The sequence below is a fragment of the Homo sapiens genome, chromosome X (assembly GCF_000001405.40).
Source record: "Homo sapiens chromosome X, GRCh38.p14 Primary Assembly".
Classification (NCBI taxonomy): Eukaryota; Metazoa; Chordata; class Mammalia; order Primates; family Hominidae; genus Homo; species Homo sapiens.
Genome location: NC_000023.11, coordinates 2,817,115 through 2,845,107, shown reverse-complemented (window position 1 = coordinate 2,845,107; position 27,993 = coordinate 2,817,115). Strand labels below are relative to the sequence as shown.

Below are 27,993 nucleotides of genomic sequence, written 5' to 3'. Positions count from 1 at the left end.
CGTGTATATAAATATACATACACACGTGTATATAAATATACATACACACGTGTATATATACATACACATGTGTATATAAATATACATACACATGTGTATATAAATATATTTGAACATATATAATACATGTATATATAAATATATACATACATGTATATAAAAATATATAGTTGAACATATATACATACAGGTATACATACATGTATATAAATATAAACACATACATGTGTATATACGCATACCTGTACATATAAATATATACACATACATGTACATATACACATACGTATATATAAATATATACACATACATGTATATATATATGCATACGTGTACATATACACATACGTGTGCGTATACACATATACGCATGCGTGTGCGTATACACATATACGCATGCGTGTGCGTATACACATATACGCATGCGTGTGCGTATACACATATACGCATGCGTGTGCGTATACACATATACGCATGCGTGTGCGTATACACATATACGCATGCGTGTGCGTATACACATATACGCATGCGTGTGCGTATACACATATACGCATGCGTGTGCGTATACACATATATACGCATGCGTGTGCGTATACACATATATACGCACACGCGTGCATATACACATATATATGCATACGTGTGTGTATATACATATATATTTGAACTGGATAATTTCTTCACTGATTTAAATTTTCTGTCTTGTACCACTGTAGTTGCTGTCTTTGCTTTGTATAGGTAGCACTCACATTGCAGTGATTTTCTGAAATAGTACATAATTCAAGCTTTCATTTGTACCCGGATTGAGTTATTTCATTTAAAACTTCCAGTTTCAAACGTCTGAGGACACACTGGTTGGTTTTTTATTTGTTCTCTTTTTAGTTTAGCTATTAATGTCTGGATTTATTATTTCATTGTCAAAGAATATGACATTCAATTCCTGCTACATCTACCATATTAAATGCCTCCTCGTCCCATTCGTATAAAATCAATTTTTTTAAGTGGTCCATGGTTGATGAAAGAAAAAGATTATTGCTTACATAATGTATGACATTTAAGAGAAGCCTTATGCTTTATTCATTAGACGCATTTATTTATGTATTTGCTTTATTTGAGAATTAAAGACAAAGAGAATTATAAAAGGAAATTATAAGAAAAGACTCCTTGGCTGGGTGCCATGGTTCATGCCTGTAATCCCAGCACTTTGGGAGGCCAACCTGGGTGGACTGAGTGAGTCCAGGAGTTCAAGATCAGCCTAGGCAACGTGGCGAAACCCTGTCTCTACCAAAAATACAAAACATAAAAATAAAAATAGCCGAGCATGGGGGCACATACTTGTGGTCCCAGCTACTTAGAAGGCTGAGGAGGGAAGATCGCTTGAGCCTGGGAGGGAGAGGTTGCGGTGAGCCAAGATGGTACCACTGTACTCCAGCCTGGGCGACAGAGCGAGACCCTGTCTCAAAAAACAAACAAACAAAAAAGAATTGAATTTTCAGTTTCCATGGTTGGGAGAATGAACTGTAACCAAACCCAGTATTGTTTTTTAAAGTATTGTGAAGCCGATCACACGCCTATATTTTCACATGATTCGAAGGTTCCTTACAAACGTCAGATGCCCATCATGACTGCCGGCCATCCAGGCCTATGAAGAAGGGCAGTCAGTCGTCAGAATAACTCCTAGGACCTCTTAGGGGAGAGGTGACCCTCCTTCTATAGGACCCAGCTGGGCACAAGCCGCATCTCTGAGCCTTACCTGAGCAGGCTGGACACCTGAGGAGTGATCAACACCACCAGCTTCCTCGTCAGCCTGTGTCTCCTCAGTGACTGCCCCAGGACCAGGGCGCCCTGGCAGTAGATGTCATTGGTGGCTAGTGTGACAAAAGCCTGATCAGTCACTGTGAAAATCAACAGAAACACCAGAGTTACACTCCTGAGGGACAGCAGGGGTGACGGGGCCATAGTCACCTCCTCTCCTCTCCCAAGATTCATGGCTTGGGCCAGACGTGATGGTTCACACCTGTCATTCCAGCACTTTGGGAGGCTGAGGTGGGTGAATTGCTTGACCTCAGGAGTTCGAGACCAGCCTGGGCACCATGGTGAAACTCTGTCTCTACGAAAAATACAAAAATTAGCTGGGCGTGGTGGCAGGCCTGCAGTTACAGCTACTCGGAGAGGCTGAGGTGGGAGGATACTTGAGCCTGGGAGTTTGAGGCTGCAGTGAGCCGTGATTGCACCACTGTACTCCAGCCTGGATGACAGAGTGAGACCCTGTCTCAAAAAAAAAAAAAAAATCACGACTTGCAGTGAATATTCAGTATTCTAATTCGCATACATGCTTCCTTTCATTCTAAACAAAACAAAACACAGGAGGAGTATGAAGGAACCTTAAACAAGGGACAAAGTCAACCCAACTGCTATGCCCATTTCCTGATGCTGCAATGCCATGGAAACTCATAGCTACTATCCCTTATTTTATGTTGTGTTTGACTCTTGAAAACTCACCCAAAGTGTTTAGATCTTAGGTGAAAACAAAAGGCAAAAAGTGGAAGTGATGGCTTGATGACCTGAGTTACAGCAAAGATGTAACCCAACTCACTCAAAAGAACTGTGCTTTGGGCTAGGTGCAGTGGCTCATGCCTGTAATCCCAGTGCTAGGGTCGAAGAAGGGGGATCATTTGAGCCCAGGAGTTTGAAACCAGCCTGGGAAACACAGCAAGACCTCATCTGTACTGGAAAAAAAAAAAAATTAGCCAGGCGAGGTGGTGCATGCCCGTAGTCCTAGCTACTTGAGAGGCTGAGGCAGGCGGATCGCTTGAGCACAGGAGGTCAAGGCTGCAAAGAGCCATGATCACACTACTGAACTCCAGCCTGGGCAACAGAGTGAGTCCCTGTCTCTGAAAAAAAGAAAAAAGAAAAAAGAAAGAAAGGAAAGAAAAGAATCGTGCTCCATAAAGAAGCAGCCAAACATGTTATTTAAATTCTGGACAGACCATTTCTTACAAAGACTTCAAGTTCAACTCAGGGATGTATGAGGCGGTAGAGACAACATAAGGAAAAGTACATTGTTTCATTAGGTAGAATGGATTCAATTTCCTAATGCCTCAGTATGAGAGGAAGGAGCTCTCACAGCAGATATAATTTACAGCAGTTTTAATTCTCTGTGCACAAGACTGATGTGAACTTTGGTAATGACTTTTAAACCACTTGATTCTTGGGCACCCAAGCCCCTGTTGCCAGGAGAAAGACAACAGTCAGGAGGGCAGCCAGCAATGCCGAGAAGTCCCATGCAGTGTGCAGCCCAGTGTACTGTCTATGGAAATTAAAATGCTCAGCATGTAGGCGACCACAGCGCCTTTCCCGGAAGCAGCACTCCAAGCAAAGCCAACCCACAATTCGCACTAAATATAACAAACACAAGCGTCCCAGACGTGTGGTACAGGGCTGCCTCCTTGACCTTTACATTCCAATGGGGTAAATTCCAAAATGTGCCTGTTACAGCTGCTCCTGTAGACTCCTCCTCCCCACCCTTGAACGAAGAAAGAACGAGAATTCCTGACATCTCCATTGGGAGTGAGAATTACAGACAGCAAACTTTACAACTTAATTCTGTAGAACAAAAGATACCTTTCATCAGTCCATATCTATCCATCTACCCATCATCCATCCATCCATCCATCCGTCCATCCATCCATTCATCTATTTATCTATCATCTATCTATCCATCCATCCATCATCTATCTATCATTGGATAATATCTATATTATCCATCTACCTATCTATCATCTATCTATCCATCCATTCATCCATCCATCTACCTATGATCTACCAATTCTCTGCACATCTATTATTTATTATCTATCTTACTATCATCTATCTCTATCTATCCATCCATCCATCTATCCATCTATCTGTCATATATCCATCCATCCATTGTCTATCTATCCCTATCTATCATCTATACATCCATCCATCTATCATCTATCTATCCATCTATTCATCCATCCATCCATCATCTACCAATTCTCTGTACATCTATTATCTATCTTACTATAATCGATCTATCTTTATCATCTATCTATCCATCCTTCTATCTATCTATCTATATCATCTATTCATCTATCTATCATATATCTATCTATCCATCCATCCATCATCTATCTATCCATCTACCTATCATCTATCCATCCATCTATCCACCTATCATCTACCAATCCTCTTCACATCTATTATTTATTATCTATCTTACTATCATGTATCTCTATTATCTATCTAGCTATCTAATCCATGTATCTCTATCATCTATTTATCATATATCATCTATATCTATTTATCTATCATCTATATATCTATCATCTATCATCCATCTATCTCCATCATCTCTCTACCTATCATCTTTCTATTAGCCATCCATCTATCTATACCTACCATCTACCTATCATATATATGTCCTCTATGTATCTACTTATTTATATCTATCAATCTTTCAATCATCTACCTATCTACCTACAGTCTATAGATTATAAATTATCTCTACCATTATCTATAATCTATCTATAGTTTTCTTAGTTACTAGCTTTAAAATGATAATAATGGTGATTACTACTTCTTTAGACATTTCCAAAGGCCTGAGCTCTGATCAAAATTACTTCCCAAGAACAGGCGTAGCTGTCATGGACCCATTCAGCTGTCTGTAAGGCTTCTTTTGTCTCTAAGCAGAGGACAGAGTTGGGAGAGGAAGCAGGCATTCGGGACTGGCATCTGCAAAGCCCAGAGCTGGCCAAGGTAAAGGTACTGTGTGAGCTTCACCCACAGACCTCGAAAATCACACAATGCCCAAAACAGAGCCAGAGATCCAATCCCCTACCCCGTCCTCACCAGGGTTTCTCTGACCCATATCTTGAAAGAGTGTGGAAGCAGAAAGAATTACCAAGTAGAACCCCCAGTGCTGAGCCCTAAGTGTGAACATATTTCTAAGCAGCATAATGGGTATCCCCACACCTAAACATACGACCTGCTTAGAGCTTCACCTTTCCATGCAAACTCTCAAAAAATTAACGGGAAATTAACATAACATAAAACAAACCATTTTAAAGTGCACAAGTGACTCGCATTTAGTCCATGCGCAATGTTGTGCAACCACTAACTCCAGGCAATCCGAGGACATTCTCACCACTCCAAAAGGAGGCCCTGTACCCATTACGCAGTCACTCCCCATTCTGGCAACCATGAGTCCGCTTTCTGTCTCTACATTCCTATTTTGGATATTTCCTATAAATGGAATCAAACACTATGTAGCCTTTTGAAAATGGAATAATTTCATATTTCCTTTTTATTTATCACAGTAAATTTCACATGACATAAAATTCGCCATTGTAAAGAACACAATTCATCACAATGTTGCACATCCACCACCTCTATCTAATCCTGGGACATTTCATCACCCCAAAAAGAGACCCTGCACTCATTAAGGAGTATCTCCCCTTTCTCCCTTCCCTAGCTTGTGACAACCACCAATCACTTTTTATCTCTGTGGATTTGCCTGTTCTGCATATTTCATGTAAATGGAATTAAGCATCATATGGCCTTTTGTGTCTGACTTCTTTCCATCAGCATGATGTTTTCAAGGTCCATCCATTTTCATCAATTCAATCACGTAATTAAAAGTGTAAACCAGGAATCTTCCAAGCAAAGATGGTGGATGTGGAGCTCCTAGTTTCTCTTTCCTTCTTTCTGAGATAAAAGGAGAACAGACTAAAAAGTGTGCTAAGGAAGGCAAGTGTGAACCCCAAGCCAACAAAGAGGCAGGAGAAAACCATCAGCCAATAAGAGAAACTGGAGAAGTCACTGAAATTCTGCAGAATTCTCAGAGGCCAAATATACCCATCACCAGGGGCAAAATCAGATGATAGGATCTATTCTAAAGGAAACAAAAAGCCCAAGAAAAAAATAATTACCATCACACAGAAGTGGAATTCCCAACCTATAGCATAAGCTTGACAAATTCAGACGAGTCGGCAAGTGGGTACAGCTCAACCGACATTCCTCATTTTTATACATATAGATATAAACCATTACCAGATATTTGAAAAACACCTTCACCACAAAAGAGAAAACTGAAAAGTTATGGGGTGGAATGGGAAGAACCCCAGAAATACCAGACATTTCATGGAATAGAAGTTCAAGGAACAGACAGGCAGACATAAAAATTCTGACTGCACCAATTAGTATTCTTTCAAAAGATCAGGGGGAGAGGGATACATCTATAAACCAAGAATCAAATGCTATAGAAAAGATCACTCCAAGGATAAGAAATAGTTATTAGAAGTTAAAAATATGATTTGCTGAAATGAAAACGAAATAACAGAAGGTTTGGAAAACATCATTGAGGAAATCTCTCAGAAAGTAGAATAAAGGGACAAATGGAAAATTTCAGAAAGCTAGAAGCCTACAGGAGTGATTCAGAAGGTTCACCAACATGAGTTTCAGAATAAGAGAATAGAAAAAAAAAATAGAGAGAAGAAAAGTTTTCAAAGAAATTAAACAGGAAATGTTCTCAACAGCAGAAAGTCAGTCTTTAGATTTAAAAAGCCCAGAGAGTATGCAACAAAAGAGAAAGAAAAAGAAAAAAGAAAGAAAGAGAGAGAGGAAGGGAGGGGAGGGGAGGGGAGGGGAGAGGAGAGGAGGGGAGAGAGAGAAAGAAAGAAAGAAAATCAGCAGTCCTTTTCCTGACAATATATTCCTGGAATTTAAAAACACCAAGGCTAAGGAGAACATTGTGAAAATGCCAAGAAAATGAAAGTAAAATAAAAATACAGGTCAATCCTATTAAGGATGAGACTGAGACTTCTTATCATGAATAGTGGACACTAAAACAAACCACCATATCTAAACTCTGAGTGCAATGGTCCTCAACCTAAAATTGTATACCCAGACCAAATAGCTAAATTTCTATACCCAGGCCAATTAGCACATCTGCTGCACATTTATCTACCACGTACCATTTCTCAGGCAGTTATTTCAGTATGTGTTTCATACTGAGAATGGACTTGCATTCATTTAATTTAATTTTTTTTTTTTTGGCACATGCCTGTAGTCCCAGCTACTTGGGAAGCTGAGACGGCAGGATTGTTTGACCCAGAAGTTGGAGGCTGCAGTGAGATATAATTGTGCCACTGCACTCCAGCTTGGGTTACAGAGCAGAGCCCTGTCTTTAAAAAGAAAACGTGTGTGTGTGTGTATGTGTGTGTGTGTGTGTGTGTGTGTGTGTGTATTTAATTGCAAAGCAGATGGCAAAGTAAAAAATAAGGTAAATCAAATCATATATATTATGAAAAGAATCATCAGCAAAGTAATGTCAAACTGAAAATAAAGTGCCATTTACAATTTTTAGCCTTTCATTGGCAGTATTAAGATTTCTTTGTGATCTCCAATGTATAGATTATTGAAATCTGAGGAACCATGTTTAAGGACCCTGTGAATTAAAGAATAGAAAGGAAAAGGAGTGCATCCTTTAGGAACTACAATGACAAAGGTAAGAGAACTCCCGAGGAGGGGCGTTGTTTTGAGATTTCCTCCTGAGCTGACTGTTCTGTCCACCTTCGAGATGCTCAGAGGGATTGGCTCCCCTCTGAACTTCACCACTGAATCTGAGAATGAGGGCTAAATCACACTCCAAAGGCCATGCTTTGGGATTTTCCTCCAGAAACAGATGACTGAGGTTAGACCTTACTATTTAGATGCTTGGTCCTGCAAGAGCAAGCTTTGCAGAATATTTAGCGTGCCAACTCCTATACCCCAGTAAGGAAGAGTCCACTGTTTCCAACCCCACTTACTGACCTGCGCTCTTAAGGAGCAGAGAAGAAGAACAGAGAATGTATAAAATGAAACTTGGCATCATCTGACCTGGGTCATGAGCTCCACCGTGTAGATTCAGATCCCTATTACCCACCTCCTAGGTCTCCCCAAGAGTCCCAGAAGCCTCGTCTGTGCAGAGCATTTATGACATGAATTCTGGGGTAAGGAGAAGTCCACTTGCCTCCAATCCCACATTCTACTCTTGCATAACTAACCTGAGATCTTAACCGAGAGGCACAACAGAAAATGTTGGGGTTGTTCATTACGTTGTGGTGGTGGTGGTTTTTGAGAGAAGGTCTCCGTCTGTTGCTCAGGCTGGAGCGCAGTGATATGATTTCAGCTCACTGCAGCCTCGACTTCCTGAGAGCAAGCAATCCTCCCACCTCAGCCTCCTGAGTAGCAGGGACCGCAAGTGCACACCACTACATCCAGCTATTTTTTATATTTTTGGTAGAGACAGGTTATGTTGCCCAAGCTGGTCTCGAACTCCTGGGCTCAGGCAATCTACCCGCCTCAGCCTCCCAAAGTGCTGGGACTACAGGTGTCCTTCTGTGCCTGGCTTTTTTTTTTTTTTTTTTTTGACAGGGTCTTGCTCTGTCTGCCACCAGGGCTGGAGTGCAGCAGCAGCATCACAGCTCACTGAAGCCCGGAACTCCTGGGCTCAAGCTATCCTCCTGCCTTGGCCTCCTGAGTAGCTGGGACTACAGATGCTCACCACACCTGGCTAATTTATTTTTAACTTTTCTGTAGAGATGGGGTCTCTTGCTCTGTCACCCAGGCTGGTCTCAAACTCCTGGCCTCAAGCAATCCTCCCGTCCTGGCCTCCCAAAGTGCTAGGATTACAGGTGTGAGCCAGCCACCGCACCAGACTAGAAAACATTTAAAATGGGTCTCTGCATCAACCACCCTGAGCCACAGCTTCCCTCCTTTGCATTCTCTGCTCCACCCTGTAGATTCTGGTCCCTGTTATCTGTCTCCTCGGTCCTTAAAAACCACATTTTCTCCCCCAACACACAGTGAAAGCCATCAGCTGCCCTGAAAGCCAACCCAACGCCAATGGTTTTCTCATTGTCTGCAAATGTAAGCTGGGTCCAGACTGCTGGTCATCTCATCCCCCACACTCAGTCCCCACGTCCAGCTCAACCCCTCTGGGTCTTCAAGCACATCCTATGATGTGTGCTACTACCATGGGGCTACTACCACTCCCTTAACTCACCTGGAACTTGCTCTCCTCCCAGCACATGGTGGCCATGGAAAAAACCACCCATCCCTCAGAGATCTTCCTGCAAACCCTGCTCCCCAAGACGACCCTTCTCATCACAGTCCCTCACCTCCTATGACACAGGACCCTTCATCTCTTGTGCCATCTTACCTGCTGTGCTCATTTTGCTTACTGGTGGGCTCATCGCTGACTCCTTTCCCTAGCAAACCCATGAATGAGCTTCCTGGGGCTGCTGTGAGAAAGTACCACACGCTGGGAGACTTAAACAACACACATTTACTCTCTTGCAGTTCTGAAGGCCAGGATTCCAAAACCAAACTCTAGAGAAGGGTCCTTCCTGCCTCTTCCAGCTCCTGGTGGCTCCAGATGTCCCTGGGCTTGTGGCCACATTACTCCAATCTCTGCCTCCAACTCCACATGGCCTCCTCTGTGTCTGTGTCTCTTCTTCTATCTCTTAGAAGGACACCTGCCATTGGATTTAGGGCCCACCCAAATATTCCAGGATAATCTTATCTTGAGATGCTTAACTAATTACATCTGCAAAGACCCTATTTCCCAATAAGGTCTGTAAACCTAAACTAAAATTCTAGGCCTCGCAACTACCTAATTGGCCAAGGGCATTCCAAAGTTAACCTGAAAAACGAGTTCAGGCCATAATGAGGAGAGGGTCAGACATGCCTCATCATAACCTCCTCCATTTTGGAATTCAGGAAAAGCTGACCACCATAAACATCCACACAGACCTCAAGTCTGATGAGAAACCTTTACAATCTATTCTCTCTGAAGCCTGCTACCTGGAAGTTTCATCTGCGTGATAAAACCTTGGTCTCTACAACCTCTTATCATAACCCAGACATTCTCTTCTATTGATAATAACTCTTTCGACTAATCAGAACATTTAAAAATCTACCTATGACCTGGCACCACCCCCCGCAACCCCCTTGCTTCAAGTAGTCCCACCCTTTCAGATCAAAGCAATGTGTATCTTACATGTATTGACTGATGTCTCATGTCTCTGAAATGTGTAAAAGCAAGCTGTACCCCGACCACCTTTGGCCCATGTTGTCGGGACCTCCTGAAGCTGTGTCACGGGCATGTCCTTAACCTTGGCAAAATAAACTTTCTAAATGGATTGAGACCTGTCTCAGATACTTTTGGGTTCACAGGTCCCATTCACAGCTTCTGGGGGGACATGAGTTTTATGGGGGACACTGCTTATCCCAGTCCACAGTGCTATGCCATAAGCTGCACACATAAGGGCATCTGCTTAGAGAAAGAGTGAAGGATTGAAGCTGGAGGCAGAAGACAAAGAAGGTGAAGGGGCAGAAGATGTCTGTGTGGGCCTAATGACGTGCTCTCAGTGCATTACACGTTCACTGTGGGTTCACGTCCCAGGCAATTCCCAGGCACGAGAATCTGCTAGGTGCTGGGCCCAGCAGCTGACAAGGTACAAGCTCTGTCCTCAGACACCCACAGCTCCATGAGAAACATTAGCCCTAAGAAATGGGTGTTTCGATACTGCAAGGCAAGTCCTATGGCTGGCAGCAGTTTTTGAAAGGGCACCATCCAAGCTCAGGGATAAATGGCCAGGAAGAACTTATCCATCAAGAAATCAGTGGAGCAACAAACAAGAATGAATATGGCTCCCATCCCTCCAGGAGTGTGTAGATAGGGCATACCTCTGCGCTCTCATTAATTCCCTTTCCAACACAGACATGTGCTTCAAAAACAAGTAAACCGGGGCTTCAACGAGTAATTAAATGTCCGAGGTCACCTCTGACTCCAACACCAACAAAAGCCCTCAAAATAGCTACTGTCTCCTGCCTCCAATAAGAAACTGAACCAAAAATAATAAGGCAAAGAAGGAAGAGGCAGAAAAAATCCACCAGCCAAGGCCAGAGGTGGAGATGATAGGTTGCATGCTGCATCCTGCATTCCTCACAGCGTAGCAACAGCAGCTGGAGAACAAGGACCCACAGGAAGAGATGGGGTCAGAGGGCCCGGATTACAAAGGTGATATGCAGCCTTTTCTATTATCCTGAGGCTTATGAGGAGCTATTTGAGGGTTCCAAAACCTGTAAGAAGGTCTCATCTCCATTGCCAGGGAGGGCCCTCTGGCTGTCTAGAGAAAAGGATGATGCAAGTGAATTGGCCCAAAGCAAGGTGCAGAGGACAACACACAGGAATGGCAAAGTGATCAGTGATTGATCGCCACCTGTGCTGGTTTTATAGTTCTTCATGAGGGCATCAGTGACAACTAAGAGAAATGGCAAAGCAATCAGTGACTGATAACCACAGGCTCTGGTTTTTTACCCCTTCATGAGGATCTCAGTGACAACTGAAAGAAATGACAGAGTGATCAATGATTGATAACCATGCGCATGGGCTTTTTATCTCTTCATCAGGACGTGAGTGACAACTATGCGAACTGGCAAAGTGATCAATGATTGATAACGATGTGCGCTGGTTTTTTTAATCTCTTCATGAGGATCTCAGTGACAACTAAGAGAAATGGCAGAGTGATCATTGATTGATAACCACATGCGCTGGCTTTATAGCTCTTCATGGGGACCTCAGGGAAAACATGAGGATTAATGGGTGTTATAGACGGATGATAACCCATCCTGAAACGCCTAGGATGAAACCCTACCCCACAGAACCTCTGAATGTGTCTGCATTTGAAGATGGGGTCTTTAAAGAGGTGATTATGGTAAAATGAGGTCACTAGGGTGGGCCCTAATACAGTAGCACTGCTGGCCTCACTACAAGAGGAGATGAGGACACAGACACACACACACACAGAAGGATGACCTTGTGGAGATACAGAGAAAGACAACATCTACAAGCCAAGGAGAGAGGCGTCAGGAGGAAACAGCCCTGCCCACACCCTGATCTCAGATTTCCAGCCTCCAAGACTGTGGGAGAGTAAATGTGTGTTGTTTAAGCCGCCCAGTCTGTGGGACTTTGTTATGGCAGCCCCAGCAGAAAAACACAGTAGTATTCAAATAAATGAGTTATCCTATTATGGGCTGACTTGTGCACCTCCAAAATTCATATATGAATATCATAACCTGCAGGACCTCAGAATGTGACTGTATTTGGAGATGGGGTCTTTAAAGAAGAGATTAAGATAAAATTAAGTCACTAGGGTGGGCTCTGATCCAATAGGATTGGTGTCCTTATAAGAAAGGAGATTAGGCCAAGCGTGGTGGCTCACGCCTGTAATCCCAACACTTTGGGAGGCCAAGGCAGGTGGATCACCTGAGGTCAGGAGTTCAAAACCAGCCTGACCAACATGGAGAAACCCCATCTGTACTAAAAATACAAAAGTGAGCCGGGCATGGGGGCGGGCACCTGTAATCCCAGCTACTCAGGAGGCTGAGGCAGGAGAATCGCTTGAACCCAAGAGGCGGAAGCTGCAGTGAGCCGATATTGCACCATCGCACTCCAGCCTGGGCGACAAGAGCAAAATTCCATCTCAAAAAAAAAGAGGCGATTAGGACACAGACACACACAAAGGGAAGACCCTGTGAGGACCAAGCCCAGGAGAGAGGCCTCAGGAGGAACCAGCCCTGCCCACACCCACCTTGATCTCAAACACAAAAGAGAATGCAGACAGGGCTGCATTTAGAGTGAGAGTTTTATGGAACTACTGGATACCCTGTTTCTCTCTTTGGTTTAGAGTGGAGGGAATATTGACCACAGTCACACAATGACAAGACAACACCAGTTGGCACACGAGCTCTCTCCAGCAACAAGGGATCCGAGACTCAGACTTTTGCTTTGGAACAAAAATGTGCACCTCCTGAAGGTTAGCCGCTTCCCATCCAGGACACTGTAAAACCCATCTAAAGTGCAAAGACAGACCAGCAGATTGAAATAGAACAGAAGATGAAACATTGATTGACAGGGCTTAGCTTCCACATCGCCTTGCCTTGAAGAAACAACTGGTGATCAAGTCCTGGTGCGGCGCCAGACGCCAGAGAACATCCACAATTATCCAATGCTACTGCATTCAAAGAGGGAGTTTCCACTCCAAGTGCCACTGCGGCGGACACTTTCAGCAACGGCATGGAGTGGAAAAACAGCAAGAAAACCTGTCACTGCACCACAGCCCACAAAAAGGAGACATTGTCACAAAATCAAGTCCAGTCTGGAGATTACAGTGGCTGAGAATTTTATGAATCTGTGACAACAGTTTCTTTCTACCCCTTGCCTGCCCCCCTGCACTCAAGGAATCTTCTGATCACCCCCCAAAATAACCTTAGCAGCTTCCTTCTCAGCCCTTTTCTACTCAAAGGTGGTTTTTGTTTTCTGCAAAGAGTTGAGTCTTCTCTTCTGGCACGAGGCTGACCAAGATGTATGCGAATGTCCGTCTTGAATGCTGCTATTATACAGACCCTAGCAGGCTTGGGGAAATGTGTGGCTTTCACTTTAGAGAGCTCCAAACGCGTCCCTAGAACAGAGAATCTTTTCTGCCATTCCTTGGAACAGACTCTTCCAGTACACCTCATGAAAACAGCCCTTAAGATCCCTGCCCCGACAATTTTCATCTCTAAGTCCAGAGTGGGAACAAACAGGAGAGAAGCAGCTCTGTGATTTACCAAATCTCTCCTCTGAATAAAAAAGTCATCTGTTCTGTTTGTGTGTTTTAAATTGCACTCATGGCCAGGCGTGGTGGCTCGTGCCTGTAATCCCAGCACTTTGAGAGGCCAAAGGAGGAGGACTGCTTGAGCCTAGAAGTTCAAGACCAGCCTGGGCAACATAGCAAGACCCTGTCTCTACAAAATTTAAAAAATATACATTTAAAAATAAATACATAAAATGCACTCATAGAATGATCCAGTGTGGTCTGGTACAAGAAGGAGGTGTCTTAATGATTTAATGATAGAAAATAGAACCAGCATCTTTCTTATGGGAAGAGGTTACACTCTGTTCACATATCTAGGCCTCTTAAGTCAACCAGTCTATCTGATGTCCACAAAACCCAAGGGCAGGGAGATGGGGCTCACCGGTCCTTGGCGGGGGCAGGCCTTTCCTGCCATTCTTGCCAGCCAGCCCTCTGCCTGCAGGAGGATTAACCTGGATTCTTATTTTGTTGTTGTTTTTTAGAGACAGGGTCTCACTCTGTCACCCAAGCTGGAGTGCAGTGGTGCACTCATAGCTCACTGCAGCCTGGAACTCCTGGGCTCAGGACCCTCCCACCTCAGCTTCCCTAGTAGCTGGGACTACAGGCAGGTGCCGCAATGCCCAGCTGATTTTTAAATTTTTTTCCTAGAGATGTGGTCTCCCTATGTTGCCCAGGATGGTCTCAAACTCCTGGCCTCAAGCAATCCTCCCGCCTCAGCTTCCCAAAGTGCTGGGATTACAGGCCTGAGCCACCAAGCCGGGCCATCCCTGTATCTGTACTGGAAACAGAAATTAAAACCGTGGTCTGAGTTCTAAGAACTCAAGGCAGCCTCTTCCCAGAGCTTTAGGGCCATTTCAGGAGAACAGACTTCTTCCCATCGGCCTTCCAGGCAGTGACAGTCTCAGGCAGTTCAATGCTATTCCCAAGAAACAAGCCCATTGAAAGTTTCAGGACTATATTTTACAAAAGGAAACTGGTGAAATCCCAAGGCCCCCTTCACTTGCTGTAAATCACCCCCTCCCAGCAGCTGAGGCTGGTATCTCCATTCCCTCCAGCCCCAGAGAGACCTGGGCGAGGCAGTAAGGGGGAGACTCGGGGTTTGGGGCAATCCTGCGGTCAAAGTGGGGTTCTCCCCAGTGCAGACCAATCTGTCACCCAAGCCAGTAGGAACAGGCAGGCTGAACTGAAGCAGCTTGAGCTACTCACCCGACATGGTCAGTGGCGCCGCGGGCAGTGGGCGCGGACCTGCAGACCTGCGCCCGGGAGCAGTGGGTGGACTTCCTCGCCACGAACCCGCAGAGCAGAGGCGCCGTCTCCGGGAATCCGCGTGGATTTCCAGGCCTGGGGGCGACAGCGTGGCAGTCTCGACACCCTCGGCTGCAGGCCCCGCCAGTGTCACCCCCGGCCTCCTACCCACTCCATGTCACCTGCGCCCCACGGGGCCCCTGCCTCCCCCGATGCCCCTGCGACCTCCACGCCCCGCACTTCCTCCTTGGCGCTCCAGGTCAGCCTCGTGCCCTCTGGCCAGGGGCCCCTTGACCCCCTGTCCTCCCCACAGTCACCTGCGACCCCGCTGCGTCTTAACACCCATGCGCCCAGCAACGACAACGCCCCCGGGACACCACCCGACCTCAGCGGTGTCAGCAGCTGCCCCGCCGCCCCGCGCACCTGCTTGGAGTTCTGGGCATCCTCTTCCTCCACCCCAGCTGGCGCCCCCCGGTCACCCCTCTCCACTCCCTGGACCACCCCTGCGCTCCCGGACGCCAGTATCTGCACCTCCTCCGAGCTTGGGCTGCCTCTGCCCGCGCCCCCCGGCCAGGTGCCCCCTCCCTCGTCACTCCAGTGCAGCCCCCCGGCCTACCCCTGCGCCTCTCGCCGCCCCTCCTCCCCGACCCGGCCTGCCGCCCATCCTCCCCAAGCGCCCCCGAGCCCCCTCCACGCTCTGCACCTCTCCCTTGCCCCGCGCTCCCGCAGCCTCTGCCTTGGGCCCGCGCCCCCCTCCCCAAGCCTCCCAGCCCTACGCCCGCGCCCCGTCTGTCCTCCGTACTCCGGCAGCCTCCGTCTCCCCGCGCCCCGCCGCGCCTGGACGGCCTGTATTCCCCAGCACTCGGTGCCCTGGCTCGGCGCACTCACCCCTAAGCGCTCCTGGCCTACTCCCGCGCCCCGCACCCCTCCCCTCCTTCGCGCTTGGGCAACCTCTGACCTCCAGCCCCCTGCGCCCCTCGCCCCTCCTTTGCACTCCAGTCCGGCGCCCCTCCCCCAGCCCCCAGCCTCGGCCTCTGGGTTGCGCCCCCGCCCCGCTGTACGCCACCCACCCTCGAGACCTCCTAGGCGTTCGGGCAGCCTCTGCGCCCCCCGGCCCCCCGCCGCGCCCAGGCCTCCTCCACTGCCCACGGTCCCCTGCAGCCCCCTACAGCCCCCCGCACCTCTTCCGCGCTCTGGCTGCCTCGGCCCAGAGCCGGCGCTGGAGGCCCCGAGGGCAGCGATTGGCCTCTGTCCGGAAGCCCGGCCCCGCCTCCGCCAGCCCCCGCGGGCGCGGGTCCTCTCCTCCTCCCTGCAGCCCCTGCCCGCAAGCCCGCGCGCCGCCTGGTGCCCAGCCCCGGCTGCCGGGAAGAGAGACCCGGGAACCGCCGGGGGCTGCGATCCACGCCCGCGCCCCGCCCCTCGCCCGCCGCGGCCCCTTCGGCAGTCGGCGGTTTCTAGGTTTGGACATTTAACCTTTAATCAGCCAGCCCCAAAGTAAACGTTTGCGATGACTTAAGGCCCTGGGCCCAAGGCCAGCGCGCAGCAAGAGTGGAGGCCGCTCTGGAAGCCTCCCAGAGGGAGAAGGCAGGGCTTATACGCGATCTTGTCGAATGCATGAAAAATGCACGTGCGCGTACTTACACGCATAAACTGAATGAATGAATGAGTGCACGAAAGAAAGAATAAATGAGGGTTTCAGGCTTCAGCTGTTGAATGCATAGCGAGCGAGTGGCTGTACGCACGCGGTGAGTGCATGTATGCGTGAGTGCATGTATGCGTGAATGCATGTGAGGCGTGAATGAACAAACAACTACTCATGAATGAGCAGGCCAGGAAATGAATGAACCATTGAATCAATGTTTGCGCCAAGGAGGGAATGAATGCATTCACACATGAATGCATGAGTTGAAGGCATGAACGAGCCAATGCATGTATGAATGAATTTAGAGATAGATGCGTGAATGGAGGTGTGACTGTGTGGAAAATATAGGTGAATGCATGCATGCATGCGTGAAGGCATGAATCTATGAATGAGTGAATGAATGAGTTGAATGCATGAATGATTGAGTGAACAAGTGAATTCATGCATGCATAGTGCATGAATGGGTGAAAGGTGAATTCATGCATACATGAGTGAGTGCATGAATAAGTGAACAAGTGAACTTATGCATGCATGAGTGACTGCATGAGTGAATAAACAAGCGAATTCATGCCTGCATGAGTGAGTGCATGAATGAGTGAACAAGCGAATTCATACGTGATTGAGTGCATGAATGACTTAAGAAGTGAATTCATGCATGTATAAGTGCATGTATGAGTGAGTAAACAAGTGAATTCATGCATGCATGAGTGCACGAATGAGTGAACAAGTGAGTTCATGCCTGCATGAGTGTATGAATGAGTAAATAAGCGAATTCGTACAAGCATGAGTGAGTGCATGAATGAGTGAGTGAACAAGTGAGTTCATGCCTGCATGAGTGAGTGAATTCATGCATGCAGGATTGATTGAGCACGTGAAGGCATGCATTTATACAGGAATGGATGTGTGTGTGAGTGAATGAAGAGAATACATGACAAGTGAATACGTGGCCGAATGACTGAGTGAATAAATATGTATGAGTACAGGAATGAGCTGAACAAACTAGCATGTGTGTTAATGCACACACACGAGTGAATGAGTGAAGACTGCATACACTTCAGGAATTAATGTATTATGTATGAGTGAATGAATGAATTGAATGCATGGACAAGTTAATGGATGCATGAATGAATAAGTGAAAGTGTGAATGCATGCATGCATGCATGAGTGAATTAAGTGAATGAATCAATGAATGTGTGAATGCAAGCATGTATGAGTTCATGAGTTGAATGAGTGATGACTGTGAGTGCATGCATGTATGAGTTGAATGAGTGATGACTGTGTGAGTGCATGCATGTATGAGTTGAATGAGTGATGACTGTGTGAGGGCATGCATGTATGAGTTGAATGAGTGATGACTGTGTGAGGGCATGCATGTATGAGTTGAATGAGTGATGACTGTGTGAGGGCATGCATGTATGAGTTGAATGAGTGATGATGGTGTGAGTGCATGCATGTATGAGTGCATGAGTCGAATGAGTGAACTTACTTGGAGAAGAGCCTTCACGTGTCCATCCGAAAGAGACAGCAAAGGAACCCAGATTCTTGCCGAAACTGTCAATGGCAATCAACGCAAGCTACAGTCAGGCCTTCCTGATCTAGATGAATACCTAGGATGATCGATGGTCTGTGGATACCAGGCACTGTGCTGAGGGCTGTTCCTGCATCAGCTCAGCCTTGGGGACAGGTATCGGTGGTGTTTTTAGCTCTACTTCATAGATGGGGCCAGAGCTGTACATAAACAGTGGAGGCTATCTCTGACCTCCAGCAGGCTACAGGCAAGAATTTAACTCGTGACTACTGGGGCTTTGTAAGATATCTGCAGGGCATATTAAACATCAAGAAGCCATCTTTATTTATTTTTATATGTTATTACAACATGTTTTTTTTCTGCATTCGTTTGTTTTAAACAGGTTGACATATCCAATTTTACTGATTTATTTTATTTTATTTGTGTAAATTTATGGGGTAAAGTGCAATTTTGTTACATAGATATACTGAGTTGTGGTGAAGTCTGGGTTTCCAGGGTAAGCATCACCTGAATAGTGTACATGGTACCTATTAAGTAATTTCTCATTCTCCACCATCCTCCCACTCTCTCACCCTTTTGTATCTCCAGTGTCTATTAATCCACTCTCTATGTCCATGTGGACATATTATTTAGCTCCCACTTATGAGTGAGAACACGTGGTAATTGACGTTCTTTTTCTCAGTTATTTGACTTAAGATAATGGCCTCCAGTTTCATCCATGTTGCTGCAAAAGATAGAATTTCATTCTTTTGCATGGCTGAATATGATTCCATTGTACACATAAATCACATTTTCTGTATCCAATCACCTGTCGATGAGCACCTGGGTTGACTCCGTATCTTTGCTATTGTGAATGGTGCTGTAATAAACATATGAGTGCAGGTGTGTTTTTGATATAATGACTTGTTTTCCTTTGGGTGAATACCTTGTAGTGGAATTGTTAGATCAACTGGTAGATAAAATTTTAGTTCTTTGAGAAATCTCTGTATCATTTTCCATAGGGGGTCCACTTTCAAATCCGTCCAGCCCCTGAGGCATTGGGGAAATCCTTAGGAGCCAAGAAGTGCCCCGGCGGAGCCCCCTTTGCCAGTACGACCTCAGTTTTCTATCCTCTGGATGCCAGCCCCAAAGAAGAGAAATGCCAGGATGAAGCTGGCCCCTCCAAGGAAGTCTCAGTTCTTGTGCAAGGAAGGGGAGACTCTCCCAGCTTCTATGCTTTCTCCTTGTTGGCTCCAATAGTCGCCAGATGTCTGCACAGCCTTGTGCTGCCAACTCGTTCCATGGGGCCTGTGTTGGCTTCTCATTGCTCCAGCAGGGAAACCGTGGAGTGCTGTGCTCTTGCTCTGGGTAAGGGAGGATCCTCCTACGGGAAAGGGTCTTATGAGTGTTCTAACAAGAGGGGCATTTACAAAAGACTCAGACAGCTCCTGCCTCCTGGACTGTTCAGAATGATGTGACTGTCAACCTGATCCCTTTCCCAAGGTTAGATGGAAGTTACTACTGGAGTTTTTCACCAAGGCGTTTGTGGCATTCAGGGCTGGATTCTCTGAGGTGGGCCCATCCTGTGCACTGTAGGGTGTTGAGCAGTATCCCTGGGCTCCATCTGCCGGGTGCCATTGGCACACTTTCCAGTAGTGACAATTAAAACTGACCTCAAACATTGCACAGTGTCCCCTGGTAGGAGCAGGGGCAGAATCATTCTTAGGCTGTAAGCCACTGTTTAGATAGATGATAAATAAATAGATAGATAATGGATAGATAAATAGATCAGTAGATGCATGATAGATGATACATAGGTAGATGATAGATGAGATAGGATGAATGGACAGATAGATGATAGATAGGATAGAGAGATAGATAGGTGATAAATAGATGATACATAGATATAGAGATACATAGATACATACATATATGGAGATAGATGATAAATAGATAAGAGATTGATGATGATGATGATGATGATGATGAAGATAGACAGGAAGACAGATATTAGATAAATGATAGATAATAAATAATGATGATGGATGATGGATGGCTAGATGTATAGACATAATAGATAAATGATACATAGGTAATAGATAAATGATGATAGATGAATGGGTGGATAGATGGATACATAGATAGACAATAGATAGAGTCTTTCTCAACTTTATCACTAATAACATTTAAGTTGAATGACTGTGGGGGGCGTCCTGTGCACTGCAGGGTGTTGAGCAGCGTCCCTGGGCCCCACCCACCAAGTGTCAGGAGCACTGCTCTTCTCTCTGGAACAGGGGTCTCCAAAATAGAATCTCAGGCTGCGTTTTGCCGAGAACCCTCACCCCATCTTTTGATTTTGAATTCAGGGTGAGATGTGCAGGCTCAGTCCTAGTCCGGCAGCATCAGCGTCACCTGGGAAACTGTGTCATGCACATTCTTAGGCATCCGAACTCTGAAATCAGAACCCTGCGTCTCGGGGCTTCCTCCAACCCCGCTATGTGAACCAGGCCTCCAGGAGTTCCTAATGCGCAGGCTTGAGAGGCACTGCTTGCATTTCTGAGATTTGAGGGTGTTGGGGAGGGGTAGCTGGAGCCAGGAGGGCCGGAGACAGTGGAGCATGGATTTGGCAGAGATAGAAAAGGGTTGAGGCAGCCAGAGAGAAAGAGACGTTGGCGAAATTGCAGGGATGTTTAAACAGCATGTTTAGGGCATGGAGGAGGCCTCGGTCTCCCAACACAAACAAGGGTAGGTGTTGCACCATTCTCTGCCCCATAAATCACCCCACCCCTCCTCACCCGCCTGTTTCTCCCGTTCCACTGAGAATTGGTGCTCCGAAAGCAGAGTATAAGGCACTAAGTCACAAGGCAACCCTCATGATCCCCGGGCAAAAGGGTAGCTCTGTTTTTAAACCCGGAGGAGGCATCTTCCCCCGGGGGTTGCCGGGCTTCTGTTCCTGTGTGTGTTGGTCTCCAGGAAGCCATGGAGAGCTTGGCAGCAGGTAAGCTTTGTCATGGGTGCATTCAGAGTAAACCTTTCTCTCCTCCCTGTTGCCGGGAATAGGTGTGTGCCAATTTTCCTAGGGAGGCATTTGAAGAAAACGTCAAGACATTTATATGCCTGGGACAACTTTATTGGAGAGTTAGTTACAAGACCTTTTTAAAATTACATGTGTGCTGGGAAAGGAAGGATTGAAACCCGGCAGGCAGCTGGGCATGGTGGCTCATGCCTGCCATCCCAGCACTTTGGGAGGTAAAGGCAGGAGGATCACGTGAGCTCAGGAGTTCAAGAACAGCCTGGCCAATATAGTGAGATCCCTCTGACTTTACAAAAAATTTTTAAAAAATTAGCCGAGAGTGTTGGCACACGCCTGTTGTCCCAGCTACTCAGGAGGCTAAAGTGGGAGGATCGCCTCAGCTCAGGAATTCAAGACCGGCCTGGCCAATATAGTGAGATTCCCCTCATCTTTACAAAAAATAAAAATAAAAAAATTAGCTGAGAGTGTTGGCACACGCCTGTAGTCCCAGCTACTCAGGAGGCTAAGGTGGGAGGATTGCTTGAGCCTGCGAGTTCAAGGCTGCAGTGAGCCATGATCGGCACTCCAGCCTGGGTGACAGAGCAAGACTCTGTCTCAAACAACAACAACAAAAAATCAAACTCAGAAGGCACAGAACAGATGTTTGTGCCAAGCTACTTGATTGCACGACATGATTGTGACAAAGGTTCTAAGAATTGAAGACAAATACAGAATGAGAGAACACATTTGCAATACATGCATTTACATGTATGTGTGTGGGTCACAACTACAATTACATCTCAATATTTTATATTTTGGTAAAGAGTAACATAATAATATATAATATATAAAGAGCTACATTGGCAAACAACTTGACACAAAATAAGCAAATGATTTGCAGCACATGCTACTGGCTACCCAGTCAACCATCATTTTTCCTTATTGTTGGTGGAGCCTGTATTTTTTCCCAGGGTTCCTTCATGCTTTCTCAGGCTTTTTTTTTTTTTTTTTTTTTTTGAGAGGGAGTCTCACTCTGTTGCCCAGGCTGGAGTGAAATGGCACGATCTTGGCTCACTGCAACCTCCACCTCCCAGGTTCAAGCGATTCTCCTGCCTCAGCCTCCCAAGTAGCTGGGATTACAGGCGCCCACCACCATGCCTGGCTAATTTTGTATTTTTAGTAGAGACGAGGTTTCACCATGTTGGCCAGGTTGGTCTTGAACTCCTGACCTTAGGTGATCCTCCTGACTCAGCCTCTCAAAGTGTTGGAATTACAAGTGTGAGCTGCCATGCCTGGCCTACACCTGATTACTTTTAGTTAGGGGCTGTGTGTAAATCAGGGATGAGGAATTGGGCTTGATCCCTGAAAGAATGTCTTTGCTCTTAAAAGAGAAAATCTGGGAGGAAATGATCCTAATTGGGCCTCCAGATATTAGTAGATGAGGCTGTGATGGCTGGAGGTACAGCAGCCATCTTCTGCCATGAGTGAAATGGGCCGATGACTTATGAAACACAGGACTGCAAGACACAGAGAACCTGGCTACTGGAGGACATTGTTAAGCCCTCAAACTGACCCAGCCCAGAGGTCCTGAATCTAAGTACATCTTGTTACAGATGCTGTCTTTATTGCTTCAACCATTTTGAGTCAGCAGAGATAGAAAAGGATTGAGGTGGTCAGACAGGGAGGGAGACTGATAAAACTGCAGAGATTTCCGGGGGAAAGTGCCATCATTTATAACATCAAGCAGAAATTGTGAAACATGTTGGTCACAGGATTCCTTTGCCTTCTTTTTTTGTTTTGTTTTGAGACAGAGTCTCTCTCTGTCTTGCCCAGGCTGGAGTGTAGTGGCGTGATCTCAGCTCACTGCAGCCTCCACCTCCCGGGTTCAAGCAATTTTCCTATCTCAGCCTCCCGAGTAGCTGGGACTACAGGCACGTGCCACCACACACGGCTAATTTTTGTATTTTTAGTAGAGACGGGTTTTCACCATGTTGGCCAGGCTGGTCTCGAACTCCTGACTTCAGGTGATCCGCCCGCCTCGGCCTCACAAAGTGCTGGGATTACAGGCATGAGCCGTCGCGCCCTGCCTCTTTTGCCCTCTTAACAATGATTAAGGGCCTAGAGGAACTTTTGTTTTTGTGCATTGTAAATGTCTACATGTTCTGTAATTAAATTATATTGCATTAAATTTAACGCTGTAATAAATTAAAATTAATATTTCTATATTTTCTAAAATTAAAATGAAGTTTTTGACTATTTAATAATTTTAAAGATAAATCCACTACATTTTACATAAATAACATAATTTTATGAAAAATGGGATATATTTTTTCAAACAGAAAAATTTTCATAGGGGAAGAGTGTACTGTTTTACATGTTTACAAATCTTGTTAATATCTGACTTATGAGGAGACAACCAGTTTCTCAGATCAGCATTCCTTATGTTGTTCAGGTTAAAGTAGATGAAGAAAATCTAGCCTCACAAAGATACATAGTTAGAAAAAGTATTTTAGTAATCTTTTCAAATAACTGTGAATGTTCTCCTTTGATGACAAAACTTGATCATCAATAGCTTCTCAAAGATAAGGTAGTGTGGAATCTGAAATCCTATCACTGAATTTTTAAAGTCTACACATTTAAAACCCACAGGTTTATCTTAAGCTTCAGACAAACCTTTTATCCATTCATGATTCTGCCACTTCACACATGGGTCATTTGTAGAATATTGGTTCATTGAGTTATGGAGGTCTTCCAGATGTTTTATTTCATAATATGTATATTTTTTAAAAACACACACATTTGTTAATATCCCTATCCATCTCATCCCAAAAGTCTTTAGCTAGAATACCAAAAGAAAATATCTCCTCTTTAATATTATTAAAGTTGTGGCCTGAACGAGGGCTTCATTCATTCATTTTCCCGTGTGTTTAATAAGTCTTTAGGGCCAGGCGTGGTGGCTCAAGTCTGTAATCCCAGCAATTTGGGAGGCCAAGGTGGGAAAATCACTAGAGCCCAGGAGTTCGAGACCAGCCTGGGAAGCACAGTGAGACCCCGTCTCTACAAAAACAATAAATAAATTAGCCAGGCATGGTAGGACATGCCTGTTGTGCCAGCTACACAGGAAGCTGAGGTGACAAGATCGTTGGAGCCCAGGAGTTTGAGGCTGCAGTGAACCAGGATCACACTGCAGCGCTCCAGCCTGGGCGGCAGAGCAAGACATTGTCTCAATAAATAAATAAATAAGTCTTTAATGAGCATCTACTACATGCCAGTCATGTTTCTGGAAACTGGGGACAAATCCATGCCTTTGTAGCAGTTGCATTCTAGTGGGGATGGAGCCGGGAGAGAAACAATAAAAGGTGATACGTTATCATATGTTGGAAGTTGATAAGAGATAGACAGAAAAGATTAGAACAGAGGATGTGGGTGAGGAAGTGCTCGTAGTGGGTGGGGACCTGCGATTGAAATGATCTCACCTCCCTGCGGCCTCCCTTTGGTCTGCAGCCTCCCTTTGGTCTACAGCCAATGGTGGACAGTGTCAGATTTTGCCCCCAGCCTTCCCACCAGCTCTGCTATGGGATCAAACATTCTATGCTTGTTAGGTCCAAGCACTGTTTTCACTTTTGGTTGGGGAAAAATTGGCAGCTTCTCTTTCCGTATGTCATGTCTACATCCCAGCTATTCATAAACAAGCAGTCATGTTTCATGAATACCTGTCTAGCAAGGGGCAGATGAATAGGACGGGGAGCAGGGAGGAGACAGCTGTGAAGCAAAAACGTGACAATGGCTGGCAGGAACCCAGGGAATGCATTGCATTTATATTTGGAACTATGGGGGAAGATGCAGCTTAGATGGAGGCCATTCCAAGTCACCCAAGTGCTCAATGTTCAGAACCAGAATAGCACGTGGCGTGAAACTCTCTCATGGGCTGAGACTGGACAAGCTAGTTCCATTCTCTGACAAGTCTGGTCTTCCGGACTCGGCCCCTGGAAAGCTGCCTTTCTTCCTCATTACCCCTTCTCCTCTCCCCTTACCATGGGATCTTGTGAGCCTTTCTTCAACAGACACAGGCTCCTCCCTGCAGCTTTGTATGAAGTTCATAACTGGGCTCAGATCAAAGTTGTGGTGGAAGCCTTTAGAATTCTGAAGGAAGCAGAAAAGGCATTGAATGACACCCCCAAGACCAACTTTTATGTTTAATGAAAAAAATGTTGCAGCCAGTGGTAACATTTTTTTGAATGTACAATTTAGAAATGTCCACTGGGTGTCGCATGGCCCTGCTGGGAAACTAAATGCTACAAGATAGTGAAGCGTACACACTTTTTACCGTGATAAGCTAGTTTCATAGCTATGCACAAACTGACCATCGCTGAACTAATAACTGAGCACTATTTGAGAGACTATCTTTGTACACCTCTCAAATTCTGCAGTTACTGTTTTGACTTTTAAGTACCAGTCCCTGACGGGCACATGGTAGGGGTTATAATACACTATACCTCTCCAGTCATCCCTGGAACTCTAATTCTATCTTTATAAACAACTCATTATCACTGACATCCTTTTTTTTTGACAGGGTCTTGCTCTGTCACCTGGGCTTCAGTGCAATTGTGCAATCAGAGCTCACTGCTGCTTCAACCTCCCAGGCTCAAGCAATTCTCCTGTCTCAGCCTCCGAAGTAGCTAGGACCATAGGCATGTACTACCACGCCCAGCTAATTTTTTAATTTTTTTGTAGAGACAGAGTCTCGATATGTCGCCAAGCTTGGTCTCAAACTCCAAGGCTCAAGTGCTCAAGTGATCCACCCACCTCGACCTCCCAAAGTGCTGGGATTACAGGTATGAGCCACCACATCCAACCAACATCCATTTTTATGTGTACATGTGTAAAGTATGTAAATTATTTTAAAAGGCTGGGCGCAGTGGCTCACGCCTGTAATCCCAGCACTTTGGGAGGCTGAGGCGGGCAGATCACCTGAGGTCAGGAGTTCAAGACCAGCCTGGCCAACATGGCAAAACCCCGTCTCTACTAAAAATACAAAAATTAGCTGGGCATGATGGTGGGTGCCTGTAATCCCAGCTGCTCAGGAGGCTGAGGCAGGGAGAATCGCCTGAACCCGGGAGGCGGAGGTTGCAGTGAGCCGAGGTCGTGCCACTGCACTCCAGCCTGGGCGACAGAGTGAGCCTCCATCTCAAAAATAAATAAATAAGTAAATAAATTACTTTGAAAGCTTATTTTTCTACTAAAATAAAATGATTCAGCAAATAGTATTGTTATTATCTATTACTCCTACTGGCAGTAGGTCTCCCTAATTAGAACATTATTTATTAGCTTTCTAGATTGCTATATTTTGATTGATTGATTTATCATTCTCTGGGTGAAATAATAAATTATTCTCCATTTTCCAGATGTAAAAGGATTACTTCTAAAATCACATTAAATGGAGAAGAATTTAACTAAAGTAATCAATATTAAAAAGATTGTAGGCTTTTGCAATGTTCAAAATATCTATTTTTTTTCTTTTTTAGAGACAAGCTCTCACTCTGTTCCTCAGGCTGGAATGCAGTGGCACAATCATAACTCACTACAGCCTTGAACTCCTGGGCTCAAGTGATCTTCCTGCCTCAACCTCCTAAGTAGCTATAACTACAGGCACACACCACTGCATCCAGCTAATTTTTACAAAATTTTTGTACAGATGGGGTCTTGCTCTGTTGCCCAGGCTGGTCTCCAACCTCTGGCCTCAAGTGATCCCCCCATCTTGGCCTCCCAAAGTGCTGGGATTACAGACATGAGCCACTGCACCCAGCCTGAAAAATCTAATTTTTAAGAGATCTTTGGGGATATATGAATTTTAGTGTGGTCACCCCTTTGTAAAATTTTTAGTATTTTAATTATTAAATTTAGTGACAATTAATATCCAAACACTCCCTCTTTTTTATTTTGAATATTTTGTGAAATTGTTGTACAGTTTATTTTAAAAGAACTTTCATACTACAGACCTAAGAATAATATATTGAAAAAAATAAAATTTCTGAAGCTATAAGGACAACAGCTGCAAGGCCTCCTTAATACAATATATTGTTTTTATTTTACAGGAGATACACACACACGTATATAATATATGTATTTTTCCTTTTGCACGAAAATGTTGTGATTAAAGCTTGAACGTCATTAGAATCACAAGATAACACAAGTGTCCTCCTTAGCTAAACTGAGCCTATTTCCATTTGGATTTGTGCATCCCAATAATTTTGTTCTCTGCAGCCTCAAGGTCTCATTTGCATAGAAAGGTTAAGAAATGAAATAAAATCCATGGTCCTCACCACACAACATGACTTCTGCACAGAAAACATACAGTAGGAAAAGTCTGAACTCTTTAGCAAGTCCTCAAAGGCAAAAAGTGGCATCTGTGGAATCAAGAAGCAAGTATCACCTTGACTCAAATGCCTCATATAACTGCAGAATCCCTCACTGTATCCATGTGAAGGAAAATTGTCAACCCTGTGGTTTGGATCAATGAAGCCAAGCAAACAGGACAGCTGCCACTTTTGCATAGTACTCTTAGAAGATGTATTTTAGATCTGTCAGATGGCATTAAAAAATCTCCTCTAGGTCTCAGTCCGATGTCAGAATGATAAATTTCAGAAAAACCAAGCTGCCCACTTCTGACTGCTTTGAACTTCATAGTAGAAGATATCAGAATCTTGCCATCTGCTATTTCTACCAAAGCAGGGAAGCTTTCCAAAACTGGTGCTTCATCACAAATTTATGGGCGAAAAGAATCAAATTTATTTCCTTCCTTCCTTCCTTCCTTCCTTCCTTCCTTCCCTTCCTCCCTCCCTCCTTCTCTGTCTCTCCTTCCTTCCTTCCTTTCTTCCTT

General features: G+C 45.2%; 1 protein-coding gene across 17 annotated transcripts in view; it reads right to left on the bottom strand.

Moving 5' to 3' along the window:
• Window positions 1-16,178, bottom strand: part of GYG2 (glycogenin 2) — a 53,889-nt gene extending 37,711 nt beyond the window's left edge. For 3 of the 17 annotated variants that reach the window (NM_003918.3, XM_017029929.2, NM_001184703.2), the window contains exons 1-4: window positions 16,133-16,178; window positions 14,913-15,047; window positions 2,018-2,110; window positions 1,754-1,895 (exon numbers count right to left, since the gene is read on the bottom strand). In NM_003918.3, coding sequence (NP_003909.2) covers window positions 1,754-1,895; window positions 2,018-2,110; window positions 14,913-14,919 — 242 coding nt within the window. In that variant the 5' untranslated portion in view covers window positions 14,920-15,047; window positions 16,133-16,178. Of the gene's footprint in view, window positions 1-1,753; window positions 1,896-2,017; window positions 2,111-14,912; window positions 15,048-15,753; window positions 15,840-16,021 lie in introns of those variants that run through there. The other 14 variants (XM_047442609.1, XM_047442610.1, XM_047442613.1 and 11 more) reach the window with 6 other exon arrangements.